General features: G+C 46.4%; 1 protein-coding gene, 1 long non-coding RNA gene and 1 pseudogene across 2 annotated transcripts in view, besides 3 other annotated features; 2 read left to right on the top strand and 1 right to left on the bottom strand.

The window, feature by feature from the left end:
* Positions 3,848-3,977: an enhancer, noted in NCBI's record as "active region_19769". NCBI's record gives its function as "activates an Ori minimal core promoter by ATAC-STARR-seq in GM12878 lymphoblastoid cells {active_cell/tissue: GM12878}" and the evidence as "EXISTENCE:reporter gene assay evidence [ECO:0000049][PMID:35858748]".
* LOC124905403 (zinc finger protein OZF-like) lies at positions 3,863-9,517 on the top strand. The gene is made up of 2 exons (XM_047449433.1): positions 3,863-3,890; positions 4,855-9,517. Exons 1-2 carry the CDS (start codon positions 3,863-3,865, stop codon positions 5,865-5,867), a joined length of 1,041 nt encoding a protein of 346 aa, XP_047305389.1. The 3' UTR covers positions 5,868-9,517.
* Positions 3,992-19,051, top strand: part of ZKSCAN7-AS1 (ZKSCAN7 ZNF cluster antisense RNA 1) — a 128,297-nt gene continuing 113,237 nt past the window's right edge. Inside the window, exon 1 of the long non-coding RNA NR_157564.1 lies at positions 3,992-4,086. This is a non-coding gene — a long non-coding RNA (ZKSCAN7 ZNF cluster antisense RNA 1). The remainder of the gene's footprint in view (positions 4,087-19,051) is intronic.
* Positions 4,148-4,277: a silencer, noted in NCBI's record as "silent region_14272". NCBI's record gives its function as "represses an Ori minimal core promoter by ATAC-STARR-seq in GM12878 lymphoblastoid cells {active_cell/tissue: GM12878}" and the evidence as "EXISTENCE:reporter gene assay evidence [ECO:0000049][PMID:35858748]".
* Positions 4,328-4,377: a silencer, noted in NCBI's record as "silent region_14271". NCBI's record gives its function as "represses an Ori minimal core promoter by ATAC-STARR-seq in GM12878 lymphoblastoid cells {active_cell/tissue: GM12878}" and the evidence as "EXISTENCE:reporter gene assay evidence [ECO:0000049][PMID:35858748]".
* Positions 12,936-13,923, bottom strand: LOC100419752 (zinc finger protein 251 pseudogene; annotated as a pseudogene).

Below are 19,051 nucleotides of genomic sequence, written 5' to 3'. Positions count from 1 at the left end.
TCAGGTGATCCATCCACCTTGGCCTCCCATCATGCTGGGATTACAGGTGTGAGAAAGCCACCATGCCCAGCCTTTTAAGGGAAGGTTTTTTTTTTGGTTTTTTGTTTGTTTGTTTGTTTCTTTTTGAGACAGAGTCTCACTCTGTTGCCCAGGCTGGAGTGCAGTGGTGTGATCTTGGCTCACTGCAACCTCTGCCTCCCAGGTTCAAGATTCTTCTGCCTCAGCCTCCCAAGTAGCAGGACTACAGGCGCGCACCACCATACCCAGCTCATTTTTTTTTTGTATTTTTAGTAGAGACAGGGTTTCACCATATTGGCCAGGCTGGTCTCGAACTCCTGACCTCGTGATTCACCTGCCTCGGCCTTCCGAAGTGCTGGGATTACAGGTGTGAGCCACTGCACCCGCCAAGGGAATGTTTTATGGCCTGCTTCAGGGGAGAATCATGGGAGAAGGTCAGAGAGACCATCTTGCTTCTGCTGTTTTCTCAAATGGCAAGGTGCCATATTTTATGATAGTGTTTCATGAATCCTATCTCAGCCAACGAAGAATAGATAACCTAATTTTCCCCAAGAGTCTGAAAATGTTAAACTTTACCTGAGTCTGCTCTCCTGGAAAACAGTGACAATTAAAAATCCCCACACCCTTTAGTGTTCTAGGAAATGACTTCCTGCAAAGAGCCATCCTTCCCCATATGACTTAGATGAGACTCACAGATAGCCCCACCCCCTTGTTTGTCTAGACACAGACCCTCCAGATGATTTGCTTTACAAGTGATTAACTGAACTGTTTGTACCCATGACCAATTTGGACAGCATACCTGCTAATTTAACTTGACCAAGCTTTAGTTAAGCTCCTCTCCCTCCCCTAGGTCCTTAAGTTTTGACCTATCTTCGGCCTGAGCCAGTAATGAGATGTAGAACAACCCCTCCTTATTATAAGAACATGTGATGGTTAATTTTAGGTGTCAACTTGACTGGGTTAAGGAATACCCAGATAACTGGTAAAGCACTATTTTGGATGTATGTCTGTGAGAGTGTTCCTGGAAGAGATTGGCATTTGAATCTGTGTTCTGAGTAAGGAAAATGTGCCCTCACACAACATGGGTGGGCACCATCCAAAGGGCTGAGAGCCCAGGTAGAACAAAAAGAGAGAGGTGAATTCACTCTCTCTCTCCTGGAGCTGGGACACCCATCTTCTCCTGGACCTGTGAGACAGGAGTAGCACTGGGTAGTCACAGGAGTATGGAAAAACCTGAACAACAGTTAAAATAAGAACTAGGCAAAGAAACCACAGGATAACAGAAAACTCAAAATAAGGGAGAGAAAATGGCCAAAACCCTGGTCAGGCTGACATGTCCATGACTCTTCTTGGCAAACCCAAATAAGGGAGAAAGGGGGTGGTAATGGGGGGAATAGGGGGCTGGGAGGAGTCTCTGAAATCCCTTTCTTTTCCAAAATACTGAATGATTATTCCACCCCATAATTAAAGAAACACCCATAAAATTAGAAACTCGTTGTGTGTGACTCATTCTCATGAGCACACTCACACTTCTCTCTTAAGTGTGTACTTTTGTTTTGCAATAAAAGCTTCTTGCCTTTCACTTCATTCTGACTTTTCCTTGAATTCTTACTTGCAATGGTGTCATGAAGCTGGAAACCAGCTGGAGCTAGGGTCTCACTGGCATCTGGAGACCCTACTAAGCCCTCCAGCAACACTAGGACATTAGAACTCCAGGTTTTTCAACCTTCAGACTCTGGGACTTGCACCAGTGGCCCTCTCAGTTCTCAGGCCTTCAGACTTGGACTGAGCTATGCTACTTGTTTCCCTGGTTCTCCAGCTCACAAATGGCATATCGTGGGATTTCTCAGCCTCTATAATCATGTGAGTCAATTTCCTTAATAAATTCCTCTTATATATCTACACATCCTATTGGCTCTGGTTCTCTGAAGAACTCTGGCTTATGTGCTCACTGGTAATCAGCTGACTTCAAGGAAAGACATTTCCTGATTAACTATCCAATTATGACACTGGCTCATTCATTCCCTTACACCAGTCTGCTCTAACCTAATTTATTCCTACCTATCAGACATACACACGAGTGTGTCATGTCAATTTACCATTGCTATGGCAACACCCAGGAGTTACCGCACCTTTCCACGGCAATGACCCAATGACCCAAAAGTACTACTCCTTCCCTAGAAAGTTCTGCATAAAATTCTTTTCTGCCTGACCTTCGAGATTGTGAAAGTCGTCAAAATCAAAATGGAGTCACTTGTGTCAAGCCCTAACAAAAAAAAAAAAAGAAATAAATAAAACCAGAAGGTTAAGAAGGGAGGGTCCTCATGCACATATGCCTATGTTATGAAATATTACAAGAACTTTCTATGCATAGGTGCCCATAACAAGAACTTCTGACAAGGGCTTTCTAAGCTGCAGCTTGCTACGTGAGTAAAAGGAAGCTACCTGGATGCACAAGAACACTTGCTTGACACACTCTCTCTGTTAATAAACTGGCATCAACCCCTCTGATAAGTCTTGTAACCAATATTCTCTTTGTTTCAAAACAAATTACGTATGCTTCCTTTTTGCCTTTAAAAACTTTTCCTTGCTTCAACTGATGTAATGCAGGTCTCAATTAATTGAATAACTGTCTTTGTTTTTTGCTTCTGTAATACGTTTTTCCCTGCACAGATTTTCTCCTGCCCCACGAAATGCTTAAAAGGTAACTTAACATTTTGTTCAGGGCTCAGCCTTTGGATGTTAATCCAACTGGGCCAGTGCACCTAAATAATAAATATCCTTCTCAACCCCATCGGTCTCTCTAATTTTTTATCAATCCCGCTACACAACCTCTTTGGATATGCCAATGGTCTGCATAGCCCCCATATACTGGATTTGTGAATCCCCTGTGCACTCCTGAATAAACACCTTATCTTTAGAGAGTCTGTCTGTTATTTGGGTTGACAAGATGTTTGTGGATCTTATGGTCTAAGCATTCTCTCTATTGCAATAGTCCTCCTCTCCCTATTGTAGTAGTACCTTTCTCCCATTTGCAATTGTCCTTTTGAATAAAGCCTGTCTTATCTATGTCTGAGTTTGTTTTTTATTTGACAACTCAAGTAGCTTCACGGTTATGCAAGTCAGGCAAGCCCCAAAGTGGAGCTTAGCCCACAAGGGTTCCTGGCTTTGCCCAGGAAAGACTTCAAGGACAAGCCAGAGGTAGAAGAAAAAACCCCTTCAAAGAGGCGGTGTTACAGCTCTGTAACTGCTCCTGCAAAGGAGGGCTACCCTGTAGGCAGACAGTAGCAGCTCAGGGCAGTTTTGCAGTCATATTTATATCCATTTTTAATCGCATGCAGATTAAGGGGCGACTTATGCAGAACTTTCTAGGGAAGGAGTAGTACTTTTGGGTCACTGCCATGGAAAGGTGCAGTAACTCCGGGGTGTTGCCATGGCAATGGTAAATTGACATGGCACACTGGTGGGTGTGTCTGACTGAAAGCTGCTTCCACCTGGCTCTGTTTTAGTTAGTCCTCAATTTGGTCGAGTGTCTGACCCGGCCTCTGGAGTCAAGTCCTGCTTGCTACCTCAGCAGTTCCATCCCAATCCTACTGCAACGGGTTGGAGAGCATTGACTAGAGAGAATTTTCTAACTTGAATCTTCTAACCTGAATCGTATCTTCTATAAGCACCTCTCAAAAATAAAGGAGCTGTAGAGAGACACTTTTACATTGTAAAAGAAGTAAAAGTTAAACATGTCAATATCTAAGACTTTAATTTTTTCCCCAACATTCTCTGAGGCCTTTGTGTAGATAGTAGATTGTCCTCCCACCCCTAAACACATTGCAGATTTTTAATTGGAATGGATAGGTCAGATGTAGGAGACCCAGGTAAGGAGGCGTCGAGGTCAAAAGACCTCCGAGATTCCTAGAGCGGTCGGCGAGGGGCCTGCAAGTCGCCCCGGCCGCACTTCCGGGACGGCCCATCTTCCTTGGGTACTGAAGCTCGCGAGAGGATCCTGGGGGCAGGCGCGTCGCGGTGGCAGTGTTTCTTGGGTGTGCGGGGCCGGGCGCCCCGTAGCCTCTGGTGAGCGAAAGAGACCGGGGCCGAGCGGGCGCAGGCTTGCCGGGGCTGCGGGCTGCGCTGGCGGCGGGGCCGGGTGGCGGTAGTGGCGGGAGTGACTGGCGGGAATCCCCGCGGCCCCGGCGCTTGGGCTTACTGTGCACTTGATGTAAGGGGAAAGTCGCTCGTCAACTGCTTGAAGGGCAGTTTTGCGGTCATATTTATACCCATTTTTAATCGCATGCAGATTAAGGGGCGGCTTATGCAGAACTTTCTAGGGAAGGAGTAGTACTTTTGGGTCATTGGGTCACTGCCATGGAAAGGTGCAGTAACTCCGGGGTGTTGCCATGGCAATGGTAAATTGACGTGGGCACACTGGTGGGTGTGTCTGAAGGGCTTGTTGTTAGGGTGAACTGGGGACTAGAAATGGGATGCGGGCGGGAGGAAAGTAGTGTAGGTGCAGGTGGCAGTCATAAGTGTCCCATAAGTCTGAATGTCTGAATGTCTGAACTGTGTAGATTTAAGGAGCATTAAAGAGGCAAAATAATAGCAAGTGCTTGTGTAATGCTTAGCGTGGGCCAGGCACTGTTCTAAATGCTTGTTTCATTTAATCCTGACAGCAACCTTATGAGGTAGGTACTATTATTCCTATTAAGAAAAAATGAGAGGGGTTAATCTGCCTAAGCGCAAACAGCCCCTAAGTGGCAGAGCCAGCATGGAAATTCAGGCCCTGAGGCTTTTTTCAGGCTGTGTTACCAGCTCTTCCTCTCAAAGACGACTTTGAAGAGTAAGGGAGAGAGAGAAGGCAAGGAGCATTCAAAAATTGGGAAGACAGTTTGAATATTCATCAGAGAGATCCTTCCAGGGAGATACTGAGGACGAGGACTAGAAATATAAGGCCAGCAGAAATCAAGGATGTAAAAATCTCCCTAGAGAAGAAAAGCCAGAAAGGTAAAGAATTTGATAACTTCTTTAATCTAAGCTCAAAAAGTATTTCACATTCGAGAATTCACAGGGAGAAGAACAAGGGGCCAGTTTCAGAAGTCAAAATACAAGTCACAACTTACGAAAGGCTTCAGAGTGTAGCCCCTCTGGCAGCCAGGTTTAGAGAAGCCCTAGCGGGGAAGGGAAGTGCAAAGAGGCATCAGGGAAGCCAGGCAGGACCCAGAGCAAGGAGAAGGAAGAGAGTTTCCACAGGTGTTGCCTTCAGAGACAGGAGTGCCCTTGACAAGGAAAGAGGGCAACAAAACTACCCAGGAGAGAAACCCTTTATCTGTAAGGAGTGTGGAAAAGCCTTTGGTCAGAGTGCAAGCCTTATCGTGCACCAAAGAATTCACACAGGGGAGAAACCTTTCCTATGTAATGAATGCGGAAAAGGTTTCAGACAGAGATCACACCTCATACGACATCAGAGGATCCATACTGGTGAGAAACCCTATGAATGCCAGGAATGTGGGAATACCTTCAGCCAGAGCTCAAATCTCATAGTTCATCAGGGCATCCACACTGGAGAGAAATCTTTTGAATGTGGTAAGTGTGGGAAAGCCTTCAGCCGGAGTTCAGGCCTCACTGTCCCTCAGAGGATCCACACGGGGGAGAAGCCATTTGAGTGTAATGAATGCGGCAAAGCTTTCAGTTGTAGTTCATACCTTATTGTGCATCAGAGAATTCACACAGGGGAGAAACCCTATCAGTGTAATGAGTGTGAAAGAGCCTTTGGCCAGAGCTCCCATCTTATTCTCCATCAGACAACTCATGCCCAGAAGAAACCTCAGCTGGCTACTTGGGTTAGGGCCCACTGTTAATGGGGCAGAGTTGAATGGTCATGTTATATGCTTGCCTTCAGCCAGGCCAGCATCTCATAAATACTAGGAAGTATGTGAGAGGTCATGGACTGTTCATTGCTGGAAATCTGGGTCCACAAACTCACTCTGCTTGTATGGTGTTTTATTCACTTGCCTTGTTTTTGTACATGTGCCTCCAGTCAGATTTGGAGTTCCAAGAGGTAGATGCCAGGTCCTGTCTTCCACTTTGATTGACAGGAAACTGAGGAGCTCTTCATTTCTACAAAGTTGATTAAATTTTAATTCATTGAGAACTTCCTCTTATCAAGAAACTCTTAATCTGATAATCTTGCAAGATCTCACCTGCTTTGAAGATTTGTAATTTTTCCAATGTAACTCCAGCACATTAAAGCTTACTTACTTTTCATTGTTATTTCAAAGCTTTAATGTGCTAGAGTTGGGAAGCTTAGAAGGCCCACTGTGAGCAGTACTAAAATTTAGAATGTCACATCCTCATTCAAATGTAGGCTGCCTTTAGGAGTGACCAAAACAGCGAAGGATACATAGGATGATAGAATCATGAATCAAAGGAACCCTACCAGACCAGAACTGCAGACCAAAGTTAACAAGATGAAGTATTAAACCCTGTCCATAGGGCTAAGGAGTCTGAGCCTCTCAGAACAGAAGTGTTCTGTCAGAAACACTGCAATCCTTGACCATTAGACATGCTAGAGGGGTGTCTTTAAAAATATCCTTCTCTCTCATCTTCAGTTGCTAGCTGCTCAGGGATGAGATCCTAGTCTTAAGGCCTGTTCTCTTCTCTCTAGACCATAGAGCTTGACTTTTCCTTACAAGGAAATAAAACAGATCATGTGTGTGTATAAAATTAAAAAGTAATATCCTAATCATCTGCCACTTACACAAAAAGAAATTTATTACCTTTAGACTAAAGGAAAAATATAATAGGAATGCAATATGTCTCGGTATGTGCAGTCATGTGCCACATAATTATGTTTTGGTCAACAACAGACCACATATTTGATGGTAGTCTCATAAGGTAATGGAGCTGAGAAATTCCTATGGCCTAGTGACTCTGCAGCTGTCATAATGTGGTAGCACAATGCATTACTCACATGTTTGTGGTGATGCTGGTGTAAAGCTGACCATGTTGCCAGTTATATAAAAGGATAGCACATGCAGTTATGTACAGTGCATAATACTTGATAAATAAATGACTGTGTTACTGGTTTATGTATTTTACTGTGCTTTTCATTGTTATTTCAAAGTGTGCTCCTTCCACTTATTTTTTCAAAGTTTACTGTAAAACAGTATGCTGTGTTTGACCAGCAGCAGCCTCATCTATCTCATGTTTACCACATCTCTTGACTGCATCATTTCCTCTTGTGCTTGATTTAATCTCATGTTTTGTTCATCATGTCTCCTAAGCATTCAAAATCCATGGCTAATTTTGCCAGTAAGAGGCCATGCTGAGTAATTGACCTGGAAACAAAATTAAAAGTGATTAAGGACTGTGAAGGTGGAAAATCAGGGATGGTTATTGCTCACCAGTCAGGCATGTCCCGTTTTACCATAGCTGCCATCCTAAAGAACAAGAGCAAAGTGATAGAAGCTGTTAAAGGATCTGCTTCATTGAAGGCAATGAGACTAACAAAAATTTGAGAAGGGCCAATATCAGATATGGATAATATCTGATATTGACCTAGATTGAAGACCAGACACACAAGCATGTCCCTCAGCACCATGACAATCACAGCTAAAGCAAAAAGCTTGTTTGTTACGTAGATAGAAAAGGCTGGACCTGACTATATTGTTGAATTTATTGCTAGCTCTGGGTGGTTTAAATGATTCGAGAATTGTTACTCATTACACAATTGTGAAAGTGAGTGCTAAGTCTACAAGTGCTGATGTGAAGGCAGCTGAATAATTTTTGGAAACTCTAGATAAGCTGATTGTGGGGGAAAATTACTTGCCAGAGCAAATCTTTAATATGGATCAAGGCTCCCTATTCTGGAAAAAGATGCCGGAAGGGACTGTCATCCATAAAGAGGCCAAGTCAGTGGCAGGTTTCACGGCTTTGAAGGACTGGCTAACAATGTTTGGGGGCGATGTTGCTGGCCACAAATTAAAACCCTTTGTGATTTGACACAGTGAGAACCCCAGGGCCTTCAAGCATATCAGTAAGCACACACTGCCGGTGTACTACATGAGCAATAACAAGTCATGGATGACCCAGCTTCTCTTCCAATATGCCCTCCTGAATTGCTATGCCAGTGAAATGGAGAAGTACTGTTTGGAGAATAACATACCTTTCAAGATTTTGCTTGTTGTTGATAATGCTCCTGTACATCCTTTTATTGGTGATCTTTGTTTTAATATCAAACTGGTGTTTCTCCCTCTAAACATCAACTCTTTGATCCAACCAGTGGATCAAGGAGTTAGAGCAGTTTTTAAGGCTCACTACCTAAAGCGGACGTTGCCCCAGGCTATTGCTGCTATTATCTGAGGGAGACACTGAGAAGACACTAATGCAATTCTGGGAGGATTACAGCATCTAAGACTGCATCAAGAACCTTGCTTAGGCTTAGGGTGATGTCACCAATGAGTGTATGAATGGCATCTGGAAGGAGACACTCGAGGTTTGTTCATGACTTCAGAGGATTTGCCATGGATGACCAGGTTGCAAAAATCCACAAGGCTGTGGTTGAGATGGCAAACAGCTTTAACCTGGGTGTGAATGAGGATGACATTGAGGAGCTCCTAGCGGTGGTTCCTGAGGAATTGACTAATGAGTTGTTGGAAATAGAACAGGGACACAGCTGAAGAAGAGGCAAGAGAAAACAAAACTGCAGAAAACCACCATCAAGAAAATTTGCAGTAGGGAGTTTAGCAGAAGCTTTTGCAGACCTCAAGAAACTCCTTAAAAAGTTTGGGCCGGGCGCGGTGGCTCACTCCTGTAATCCCAGCACTTTGGGAGGCCATGGTGGGAAGATCACGAGATCAGGAGTTCAAGACCAGCCAGACCGACATGGTGAAACTCCATCTCTACTAAAAATACAAAAAAAAAAAAAAAAAAGCCTGGGTGTGGTGGCACGCACCTGTAATCCCAGCTACTAGGGAGGCTGAGGCAGGAGAATCACTTGAACCTGGGAGGCAGAGGTTGCAGTGAGCCGAGATCGTGCCACTGCACTCCAGCCTGGGTGACAGAGCAAGACTCATCTCAAAAAAAAAAAAAAAAAAAAAATTGAAAACATGGACCCCAACACCAAAAGGTTTTCATTAATAGAGAGGAATGTTCATGGTGCATTATTTGTTTACTGGCAAATCTATGATGAAAAAAGGAAATACCAAGCAAACCACCATGGACATATTTCTGAAAAGAGGGACACCTCCTTAAGAAGAGTCCCAGGCAGGTCCTTCATGGGTATTTCAGAAGAGGGCATTGCTATCATAGGAGATGACAGCTCTGTGCATGTTACTGCCCGGGAAGACCTTCCAGTGGGACAAGATGTGAAGGTGGAAGATGATGATATTGATGATTCTGACCTGTGTATGCCTAGGCTAATGTACTTGTGTCTTAGTTTTTAACAAAAAGTTGAAGTAAATAATTTAAAAGAAAAATGCTTATAAAAATAAAATATTTTTGTATAGCATTACAGTGTGTGTTTTAATCTAAGTGTTATTACAAAAGTCAGAAAATTTTAAAAGTTTAGTAAAAAGTTAACATTAGGTTAACTTATTGAAGAAAGAAATTTTTAAGTAAATTTAGTTTACTCTAAGTGTACAGTATTTGTAAAGTCTACAGAAGTGTACAGTAGTATCCTAGGCCTTCACATTCACTCGCCACTCACTCACTGACTCATCCAGAACAACTTCCAGTCCTGCAAACTCCATTCATGGTAAATGCCCTATATAAGCATACTATTTTTTATCTTTCATACCATATTTTTACTGTACCTTTTCTAAGTTATTTTTAGATATACAGATACCATTTTGCTACAGTTGCCTACAGTATTCAGTACAATAATACACTGTACAAGTTTGTAGTCTAAGAGCAGTGGGCTGTACCACATAGTTAGGGTGTAGTAGGGTGTATATCATATAGCCTAGGACTATACCACAGAGCCTAGGATGTACTTAGACTTGCCATCTAGGTTTGTTTGAGTACACTCTATGATATTCACGCAACAATGAAATCACCTAACAATGCCCTTTTCAGAACTCTCCATTGTTAAGCAGCACAGGACTGTATTGTAATGCTGGTTGCTGCCCACTGCTATGAGTTTAGCCCTCCAATTAAGTCAGGAACTGGCCCTCTCTTGGGTGTGGATTTATAGTCCCCAACACTAGAGGGTCAATTTTAGAGATTTTTAACAAACTGGAAGGTTGACTTTCAAAATGTCTCCAGTTCCTTCTAGGTCAATTCCAGCATGAGATATACTTTATCTTTCAATCACTAGTAGGCAAAAAAGGGGTGCTAGGAATCAGTCACTGGCTTGACTTCTGGCAACAAGGAAAGCCTGAGGTGAATTACAGTTGCAACATCTGTCAGCTCAAACTGCATGGCGTCCGTCACAAGGAGTTGAAATTTCAAAGTGTAATAATTTTTTTAAGTATAAGAATAAAAAATGTCCATCCAAAGTATAAGAAAATCCTTCTTACCAAATCCCCCTTCTTTTGGCAAACACCAGGGCCCTTTTCCTTGTTAAAACAGCCTATTTTAACAAAGGCAAGGTGTAGGGTGTGCACAGAAGCCCAGACATTCATGAAAGCAACTGCTAATCTTGTGTGTTTACACAATAAGCATCTGAAATGAGCTGTGTGACTCCTTGGTTTTGGTTTGCATGAGACTTAGCATCTGTGTGAAACTGCTAGTTGTCTTGGGCAGACACCTGGCGAAGGATTGCAGGCCTGAAAATGAAGGGAAGTTAATTTTTTACTAGAACAAAAGTTCTAGTAAAAAGGGTTTTGCTTTGGACATAAGGGCAAAGCAGAACTAAGTGGTGAAAGGACCAAAACACCTCTGCCTGAATGGAGACGGTGGCCAGGGAAGTGACCACTGCAGCTGTGCATGGCTCGGTGTGGGCTACAGGCGGAGTATCAGGGAGACAGTAAATTGAATGGAGCGATGTCCACCCCTGGTGTGGGCTGTGGTGTCCAGACTCAGCAGCCACTCAATGCCCACAGCCCAGTCCCTTCTCCACTTACTGCATACCTATGGGCAAACTTCTTAAACTCTCTGTGCCTCACTGTCCCTGTCTATAAAATGGTGATATTAACTATCTAAGGGATGCAGTGAGGATTGAGTAAAACACATTAAGAAGAGCACTGCACAGAGTAAGTGCTTAGTAACTACTGTATAAAATAAAACAATTATTATTAACTTGCTTTCCTGCTCTGAGACATGGCCTAACAGTAACTTATCTCTAGGGCAGGTCAGCAGGGGATAACCTGTACAGCCAGAGAAACTGAAACTACCAGGTTTCTCTGGGGGTGGGTGTTGGGGGAGTCCAGGGACTGGATGAAGTTAATGTCTGCTGGAAGGTGGGAAGGGCCAAGGGTTTACTCTGCCACTCATTTTAGAAGAGCTGCGCCATTCAGGGAAGTGGCAGAGGTAGAAATTAGAGAGTAGAGAGATCCATGTACTACCAGAGGCCAAGCAGCTCTGGGTAGAGACTGGTCTCTGCCCCACAGAGTTATTCTTTGATTCTCCACTCCTTGGCCTGCATACTGGTTATTCTTGTCTGCACCCCAGATCCATCATCTACCTCATTGCCCTGGGGCAGAGATCCCTGTGGGTGGCATCACCCTGGGTCCCTTACTTCTGGCTTCCTAGTGGGATGCACTGGTATGTCAGAGGGAGGCATGAGAATGGGACGGGGTACTTCTGTCTGCTACCATGGTTCTGGCAGTGGCTGTGTCCCTCTGTAACCACAGCTGCATGGCTCCAGCTACACCATTTCCTTCCGTGCCCTTTCAAGCTAGGAGTGGCAGAGGCTCTAGTTCTTGCTGGTATCTGGTGTCTCCCCATCCCCTCCCCAAACCTCTGTAAATCACCCTTTCATTAAACTCTCTCCTTCCTGCCAGGTCCCAGCAGACTAATAATTGCTGGCAACTAGGGGATCTGGAGAGCTGCACTGTATATTTTATTTACTAGACCAGGCTGCATGACATTTTAAGCTAAGCACTGCTTAGTGATGGGGGAAGCACAAACCTGTTCTTTATTAACAAAACATCCACACTGCAAAAGGAGCCAGTGCTAGGAAGGTTTTCAGACTAGCTGTACCTTACATCTCACACAGCATGAACATTAGCAAGCACCCAGAGTGTCACTGGCATGCCTTCCATCTATCAAGCCAAGACAGTACACTGTTCCCAACATGCTTCATGCTTTCCAGACAAGTCCTTCTCCTAGACACAACTCCTCTCCCATCAGGTTTTGGGACTCCTACTCACCCTTCGAGGTTGGCTTGAATGCCACTTTTTTCATGATCCACCCCAAATCAAAGCAGCATCCACCCTCGTCTGAACTTCCCTGCAATTATCCTCAGCTGTCCTCCCGCTCAGCATGTTCTGCCTTGTGGTGGTCTTACTTCCCCTGCTGGATTGTGTTAAGAGAAGGACCAGGTCTCATTCCCTGTGGGCCCCTTAGTTCACCTAGCAAGGTGCCTTTTACATAAAAGGTGCTCAGTAAATTGCTGAATGAATGGACAATGACTAAAGAGCGTCTTTGACCTACTTCAGCTGAGCAAGGTCACCTGTGGTAGGTACCAAAGTCTGAGAAGAACCAACTGGATTTCCCCACCTGCCTCCCACGTGGTCTCCCTTGTCTCCTTTTCCTCCTCTTTGTCCGTCTACCCTGAGTTCCCATCAGCTTCATTCTCCCAACACTTCCCTCCTCCGTCTATTAGTCCTCATTCTGACAATGGCTTCAAAGCTCTGAAATCACAAGTGGCAGAGAGAAGAGAGCTCAAAGCCCCTCATGTCCAACTCCTGTCCTGCACAGGTGTGGAAAATGATGCTCAGTGGCTTGCCCAGGGTTAACCTGGTACACGAAGCCCAGTACCGTGGGCAGGGCTTGGCCTTGGTTGGTACCACCCACACACCGGGGCTTTTGTCCTGAAACTTCTCACCTCCCCATGTGCCTGTCAAGCCTGCCACTCCTAGTGACTGTACAGCCAGTCTCTCCCCTCACTGGGGCCCACCTGGAGGCATTCCTTGTTTGCTTAGTCCCCTCCCTGGGCTGTCCCTCATCCACCTACTGCCAACCCATTCTCCCAGAGCTGGCCCACTAAAGCTTCACCCATTTCCCCTCCCTGCTGATCTTGCTATCTCTGCACACAATTCAGCACTTTAATCTCAGCTTGTCACCTACTGTCCTTTACTCATTTGTGTGTTTACTGTGTATGTATCTTGTCTCTCCAAAGACACCAGGAGGCCCTTACAGGAGCCTACCTTAGCCTGAGAGCTAGGTTGGTGACAAGGGCTCAGCTTGCTCTCATGTGGATTCAGTGCTGGACCTGAAGCCCTGACCCATCAGCACTGGGCTCTGACCGGGGAAGTTGGCTGGTATTTCTTCCAGGCATGCTCCCAGGTACCAGGCACTAGGCAACCATGAGGGGCCCTTCAGGACATGCTCTGCCTCTGACTGGTTGGGTCATCTCAGATGATTTGCAAAACTCTGAGTTGATTTCCTCACCCTGGAAAGGTGGGAGCCCTGGCCGAAGGCCTTTCCATACTGGGTGCAGCAATAGGGCTTCTCCCCCGTGTTGCTCTACCAGTGAACCAGGAAGCACGAGCTGCAGCTGAAGGTCTTGCCACCCTATGGGCACATGTGTGGCTTCCACCCTGTGTGCACGACTAGGCTTGGTCCCTGACTGAAGGCCTTGCCACATGTGCCACAGACAAAGGGCTTCTTCCCCATGTGTACCCTCTGGGGCTAGGTCAGGTGGGAGCTCTGCATGAAGGCCTTGCCACACTACCCACACCCACACGGCTTCTCCCAGGTGTGGATTATCTGATGCACGATGAAAGTGGAGCTCTGGCTGAAGGCCTTGCCATACACAGTATATGCTTAAGAGATTCCTGCTAGGGGCAGCCAGGCTGGAGTTGTGGCAGACCTCTTTCCTGAGTTCCTTATAGTTCCGGCCCCTCTCTCCTGGGAGACCTCTTTTCTTTTGTTGGGGCCTGCCTGGTGTCTGGCTTGTCTCTCCTCACTTGCTTGTCTGCAGGCTGTTCCGAATGCCCTGTTCCCCTACTTCCCACTTTTCATGCTTCCAGTCTTCCAGAGAATTCTCCTTTCACATTTGTTTTTTCCGGAATCAAATCTGCCTTTTCAACTTTGGTCTTGATATCTAAACAAGACATAGAAGATAACAGATATAACAAAAGCAAATAAAAATAGAATCAGCTTTATATTCTAGATGGGAAACATGAAACTATAGTGGGATTTGAGGGAATTCAATAAGTAACACCCTTCTCTTCAGAGGCAATATAGCATTGAGACCAGGGGTGTGGTCTCTGGGGCCAGACTGTCTGAGACCAAATCCTGTCTTTGCCATGAACAGTTATGTGACCTTTCTGTACCTCAGTTTCCTACCTGTAAAATGGATTAATACTAGTACCTATGTCATAGTGATGTTGTAAGAATTAAATAAGTCAATGCACATGTACAATGTACATGAGTCAAATACAATGTACATGAAGTGTTTAGCTAGGTATTAGCTATTATTATAATTTTATACTCAATATTCGAACCAACTGAGAAATAATATGGGGAGACCAACATATCACTTTTATTAGTGAAAGCCTGATATTGGTGAATGTGGCTGTATCTGCAGGCAAGTGGGGTTATGAATCCCAGGATTAGGCAGCATTAGCCACCCAAGGACATAGTGCTGGCTGCCATGGGTTTGCTCCTGAAACACCTGCAGCACAAACGGCCAGGATGGAATGCATGGTTTCTGTGAAGATGCCAGACCCCAAGGGAGAAGTGGGAGGAGGACTGGCTTTCCAAAACTCACCAGTCAAATAAAATCCCTTTTTGTAGTGTGGCAAGAGTGTGTGAGGATCAGAGTAAGGCCCCAAGTGTTACACCAGTGAGCTTCCTGAAATATCTGGGATAGGAAGCACAGTACTTACAATCATAATTGTCCTGTATGTATACTATGGTTTCAGAGCATGGGTAGAGAAAAAGAAAAGAAAGAGTAGTCAAAACAAAACAAAACAACAACAAAAAAATGCATTCTGGGAAAGAGCCAGGGATGGCACTGTCACCAAACATTTGTCTGATGAGGGCAATGCCTGCATGCATAAAGACTGCCAAGCTGAGAGGAGGAGACAGAGGCGACTTGGAAACTGGCCAAGGCAGCAAGTGGTGGTCAGAGATGGGCTGGGCTGTGGACATGGCGTCCTGGGAGTCACAGAGCTTGACCAAGTCAACTTCCTGGCTGGAGAGAGGCAGGATGAGAACTTGTGACTCAAGAGAGAATTCAGAGATCTATCAGATAAAGTGGGGAAAGGGAGAACAAGGGTACTGCACAGAGGGAAGGGTGTTGAGGGCTGCCAGGTTTGGCAGTAGGGGAGGCAGAGAGATGTGGCTCCCTAGCCTCACAATCCGCGAGCTCAGTCCAGGCAGGAAGAGAAAGCACAAAGAAGCAGGGCAAGCCAACCCTCTGAAGTGTGGGGAGGGACACATGCAGGGCCCTTTCCTCCCCCTAAGCTACAGGAAATACAGCAGGAAAGAAGGACGCTGTTCTAGGAGGTCCAGGAGGAGCAGCTCAGGCTTTTGCTTCCAGGAGGCCTGAAGAAACAGAGGAGTGTGGAAATGCTAAATAGCAGAGCACTGTCCCAAGGGCAGAGATGGCCATGGTCCACTCTAGGCCCTAGCCCTCCAGTTAAGATCTTGATATGATTTGGCTATGTCTCCACCCAAATCTCATCTTGAATTGTAACTCCCACAATTTCCATGTGACATGGGAGGAACCCGGTGGGAGGTAGTTGAATCATGGGGGCAGGTCTTTCCTGTGCTGTTCTTGTAATAGTGAATAAGTCTCACGAGATCTGGCAGTTTTAAAAACGGGAGTTTCCCTGCACAAGCTCTCTCTTTGCCTGCCACCACCCATGTAAGACGTGACTTGCTCCTCCTTGCCTTCCGCCATGATTGTGAGGCTTCCCCAGCCATGTGGAACTCTAAGTCCATTAAACCTCCTTTTTTTTTTTTTTTGAGACGGAGTCTCGCTCATCGCCCAGGCTGGAGTGCAGTGGTGCAATCTCTGCTCACTGCAAGCTCCACCTCCCAGGTTCACACCATTCTCCTGCCTCAGCCTCCCGAGTAGCTGGGACTACAGGCGCCCGCCACCACGCCTGGCTAATTTTTTGTATTTTTAGTAGAGACGGGGTTTCACCATGTTAGCCAGGATGGTCTCAATCTCCTGACCTCGTGATCCGCCTGCCTTGGCCTCCCAAAGTGCTGGGATTACAGGTGTGAGCCACCGCGCCCGGCCTAAGCCTCCTTTTCTTCCCAGTCTTGGGTATGTCTTTATCAGCAGCATGAAAGTGAACTAATACAGATCTTTTCTCCTATTCCCCAACCCTCTTCTTGGCTTCCTTGAACTTTCTGGTTGTACTCATGCTCTTCAACAAAGATTTCCTATCTCTGTATCTTTCCTCTCACCTTCTGCATGGCTTGGAATACCCAATCCTTGTCCTCTAAAACTGCTCATCCATCCACCCACCCATTCATTCATCCATCCATCCACCCACCCACCCATCAGGCCTGGCTCAAGTCACCTCTCCTTTAGGAAGCCTTCTCCCATCCTTCCCACAGCTCCCAGTGACTGCTCCCTCCTCTATCCTTGACTACCTCTGCCATCCATCCCCATTTCTTTGGCAATGACCTTACATGTTTTGGTGAATTAGATTTCTCTTTCCCATGTATCCATCTTATCTTCACAACTAGGCTGTGTGTTTCTCCAGGGCAACATCTGAATCCTATCAGCCCTGTAGCATTCTTAACCTGGTGCACTTGTGCTAGTATCTGTGAAGGCACCATTCTGGTTGGCACAGTCCCTGTCCTCACATCTGCCAACAAATAAAATATGTTTATCCTGCCTCCCTTGGGCCCCAGAATTAGCACTAGTGCACATCTGGCAAAATGCTCAGGATGGCTCTGAATGACTGGTTTTGGCGTGAAGGTCACCCTGAGGACCACTATGCTTGCCAGACAGCCACAGCTAACCAAGGGGAAAGAATTTTGGGGGGTTTGGCTCTTTGGGGGAGTTATTACAAAGAATTTGGGATCATGACCCAGGAAAACAACCTAGGCAAGTTCTTTGTCTAATCAATGTGAAATTGTGGTGCCATGATGGGCTGGCAATGGGTGTTTGGTAGACAGAACCCTTGTGGCCTCCAGCCTGGCCTGGCATCTGCAGCCAGGTCTGCTCACAGAGCTGGGGGACACATTCTCTCTGGTGCTTTCCTCCACGGACAGCTCAGCACCTTGGAGTAATTCACAAAGAGATGTCTGCTAACTGACCAGGAGGGAAATGGCTTTTCCCAAGACATACAAAACCTGTCTGGCAGCCTTGGGGATGGCTAGGCCCTGAAGCCTGGATTCTGAGAGGTGCACTCTGCTGAGAGTATCAGAGGCCCACATTTCTGAGGTGTGGTGGTTAAGGCCAGGTGGAAAGTGGCCTTACCCAGGCTGGCTGAAGCCTCTCAATTCAGCCCTAGCAGCATTTCTCCAACAGTGGCCCTTGGGGCAGGGAACACATGGGTCCCAGGCAGCAGGTAGCCTTAGAGGGCTGAAGTCAGAGGAAGCTCCGGCCCTACTCTCAGGGTGCCTTTCTCCCAGAGCTCATGCTGTTGTCACCAGGCTAGTACTGAGACCTGGAAAAAAAAATTCTGGAGACAAGTCCACTGATGGCCTTGGGAGGGGAAGCTAAAGAAGGTCACAGTGCTGACCCTACCTTCTCCACCCCTTTTGCTGGTGGGCAGTGGCAAGAACCCATAGTAAGTAAAGGTAAACTTTCAGGGAGGGTCTGGTGTTTAAAGGCAAAAAAGACTGAGTGGTCATCTCCAGGATGGACCCTGGCCCCATGCAGCCCACAGAAGCATCCCTCCCAAAGAGCATCCCTTCTCTTCTTGGACAATGACCCCACCCTGGTTAATAACCACAGCGATGTCAAATGACTGAACTGTTTACAGCCCTGTCCTGTCCGAGTCTCCTTTGATGCATACCACCCAGTGAAGCTGGCAGGGCAGGAAATGTTGCTTCATTTGACAGGCAAGGACATTGACTTCTCTGAGGTGACCTAACCAGTCAGAAGCAGAACAGGTCCTGAAAGGCCCCTCATGGCTGCCTGGTGCTTGGCATTTGGTAGCAGCTGGGCAATTGGACACTGAGTGAATAGGAGAGAATGAAATTAGCCTGGTGCATCTCTCACACCTAAGGGCCATGCCTTACCTGGGAATAAGGAATGGCTTATGAGAAAGGTGGCTTATGAGTCGCAGCCCTACCCTGGCAACCCCTGGTCCTTTCACCACACTCTTCTAGGGCCAGCCATATTCCCACCTCTCACCTTTGGTTGTGGCCCACCAAGCTAAGATGGGAAATGCCAGCCCTTAGCCCTGGTGGGGGTGTTCCCAAGGCAAGAGCCACTGGCCCGGGGCTGCTCCTCCTTCAGGCTTACAGGGCTCATCCTCATCTGTGTGCACCTCACTCTCATTCGAACCTGTGATGGAAGAGAGAAAACCCTTTGGTTCTTTGGGATCATCAGGTGTCACCTAAAGGGACAGTAAATACTGTTCGCCAGAGACCTGGCCCATCCCAGGAGGATTATCAGCTCCTTAGGGAGGCAGGGGCATCTTGGGACCAGGCCCCTGTGAATGCAGTTCATGACCGTGGGCACCTATTCTTTCAAAGGCCTAGCTTTGCCCACCAGGGTGGAAGAAGGAAAGGTGCTCCAGCCCACCCCAGCCTCTGGAAGCCACTCTGGCCTCCACAGCTGTCTGGGACCAGAGACCATCCATCCTGCTCCTTCCTCACAGGGCTTGTGTTGGGGGAACAGGTGTGGTCCAGACCCTGCCAGAGACTCTTATTTCCAGAGAAAACTCCCCATAGCTTCTTCTGGCCCAAGGGGTCACAGAACTATTTGGCTCCTTCTTCAGCACGGTGGCCCCTTAGG

Source organism: Homo sapiens, chromosome 3 (assembly GCF_000001405.40).
Source record: "Homo sapiens chromosome 3, GRCh38.p14 Primary Assembly".
Classification (NCBI taxonomy): Eukaryota; Metazoa; Chordata; class Mammalia; order Primates; family Hominidae; genus Homo; species Homo sapiens.
Note: the sequence above shows the minus strand (reverse complement) of the source record. Positions and strands in the feature narration are given on the sequence as shown.

What these genes read in the sequence shown, in the direction of transcription:
- LOC124905403 (XM_047449433.1), top strand. Translation starts at nt 3,863, where the DNA reads ATGGATAGGTCAGATGTAGGAGACCCAG. An exon ending in GTCAGATGTAGGAGACCCAG is followed by an intron (nt 3,891 to 4,854) that starts GTAAGGAGGCGT and finishes TTGAAGAGTAAG; the next exon opens with GGAGAGAGAGAAGGCAAGGA.